Raw genomic sequence first — 2334 nt, 5'->3', positions numbered from 1 at the left:
AAAAGACCTTTGACATAATTCAACACCACTTTATGTCAAAAACACTTAATAAACTAGGTAATGATGGAACATATCTCAAAATCATAAGAGCTATTTATGACACACCCACAGCCAATATCATACTGAATGGGCAAAAGCTGGAAGCCCTCCCTTTGAAAACTGGCACAGGGTAAGAAGGCCATCTCTCACCACTCCTATTCAACATAGTATTGGAAGTTCTGACCAGGGCAATCAGGCAAGAGAAAGAAATAAAGGGTATTCAAATAGGAAGAGAGGAAGTCAAGTTGTCTCTGATTGCAGATGACATGATTGTATATTTAGAAAACCTCATCGCCTCAGCACAAAATCTCCTTAAACTGATAACCAACTTCAGCAAAGTCTCAGGATACAAAATCAATTTGCAAAAACCACAGACATTCCTATACACCAATAATAGACAAACAGAGAGCAAATTATGAGTGAACTCCCATTCACAATTGCTACTAACAGAATAAAATACCTAGGAATAAAACTTACAAAGGATGTGAGGGACCTTTTCTTCATATATATATATATATATATTTATTTATTTATTATTATACTTAAAGTTCTAGGGTACATGTGCACAATGTGCACGTTTGTTACATATGTATACATGTGCCATGTTGGTGTGCTGCACCCATTAACTTGTCATTTACATTAGGTATATCTCCTAATGGTATCCCTCCCGCCTCCCTCTAACCCACAACAGGCCCCAGGGTGTGATGATCCCCTTCCTGTGTCCAAGTGTTCTCATTGTTCAATTCCCACCTTTGAGTGAGAACATGCGGTGTTTGGTTTTTTGTCCTTGTGATAGTTTGCTGAGAATGATGGTTTCCAGCTTCATCCATGTCCCTACAAAGGACATGAACCCACCCTTTTTATGGCTGAATAGTATTCCATGGTGTATATGTACCACATTTTCTTAATCCAGTCTATCATTGATGGATATTTGGGTTGGTTCCAAGTCTTTGCTATTGTTAATAGTGCTGCAATAAACATACGTGTGCATGTGTCTTTATAGCATCATGACTTATAATCCTTTGGGTATATACCCAGTAATGGGATGGCTGGGTCAAATGGTATTTCTAGTTATAGATCCCTGAGAAATTGACACACTGTCTTCCACAATGATTGAACTAGCTTACAGTCCCACCAACAGTGTAAAAGTATTCCTATTTCTCCACATCCTCTCCAGCATCTGTCGTTTCCTGACTTTTTAATGATCACCATTCTAACTGGTGTGAAATGGTATCTCATTGTGGTTTTGATTTGCATTTCTCTGATGGCCAGTGATGATGAGCATTTTTTCATGTGTCTTTTGGCTGCATAAATGTCTTCTTTTGAGAAGTGTCTGTTCATATCCTTCGCCCACATTTTGATGGGGTTGTTTGTTTTCTTGTAAATTTGTTTGAGTTCATTGTAGATTCTGGATATTAGCCCTTTGTCAGATGAGTAGGTTGTGAAAATTTTCTCCCATTCTGTAGGTTGCCTGTTCACTCTGATGGTAGTCTCTTTTGCTGGACAGAAGCTCCTTAGTTTAATTAGATCCCATTCATCAATTTTGGCTTTCATTGCCATTGCTTTTGGTGTTTTAGACATGAAGTCCTTGCCCATGCCTATGTCCTGAATGGTAATGCCTAGGTTTTCTTCTAGAGTTTTTATGGTTTTAGGTCTAACATTTAAGTCTTTAATCCATCTTGAATTAATTTTTGTATAAGGTCTAAGGAAAGGATCCAGTTTCAGCTTTCTACATATGGCTAGCCAGTTTTCCCAGCACCATTTGTTAAATAGGGAATCCTTTCCCCATTTATTGCTTTTGACAGGTTTGTCAAAGATCAAATGGTTGTAGATGTGTGGTATTATTTCTGAGGCCTCTGTTCTATTCCATTGGTCTATATCTGTGTTTGGTACCAGTACCATGCTGTTTTGGTTACTGTAACCTTGTAATATAGTTTGAAGTCAGGTAGCATGATTCCTCCAGCTTTGTTATTTTGGCTTAGGATTGACTTGGCAATGCAGGCTCTTTTTTGGTCCCATATGAAATTTAAAGTAGTTTTTTCCAATTCTGTGAAGAAAGTCATTGGTAGCTTGATGGGGATGGCAATGAATCTATACTTGGGCAGTATGGCCATTTTTTGACAATATTGATTCTTCCTATACATGAGCATGGAATGTTTTTCCATTTGTTTGTATCCTCTTTTATTTCATTGAGCAGTGGTTCATAGTTCTCCTTGAAGAGGTCCTTCACATCCCTTGTAAGTTGGATTTCTAGGTATTTTATTCTCTTTGAAGCAATTGTGAATGGAAGTTCAC

Source organism: Homo sapiens, chromosome 11 (genome assembly GCF_000001405.40).
Source record: "Homo sapiens chromosome 11, GRCh38.p14 Primary Assembly".
Taxonomy (NCBI): domain Eukaryota; kingdom Metazoa; phylum Chordata; class Mammalia; order Primates; family Hominidae; genus Homo; species Homo sapiens.
The sequence above is the reverse complement of the archived record's forward strand: the minus strand, read 5'-3'. Positions refer to the sequence as shown.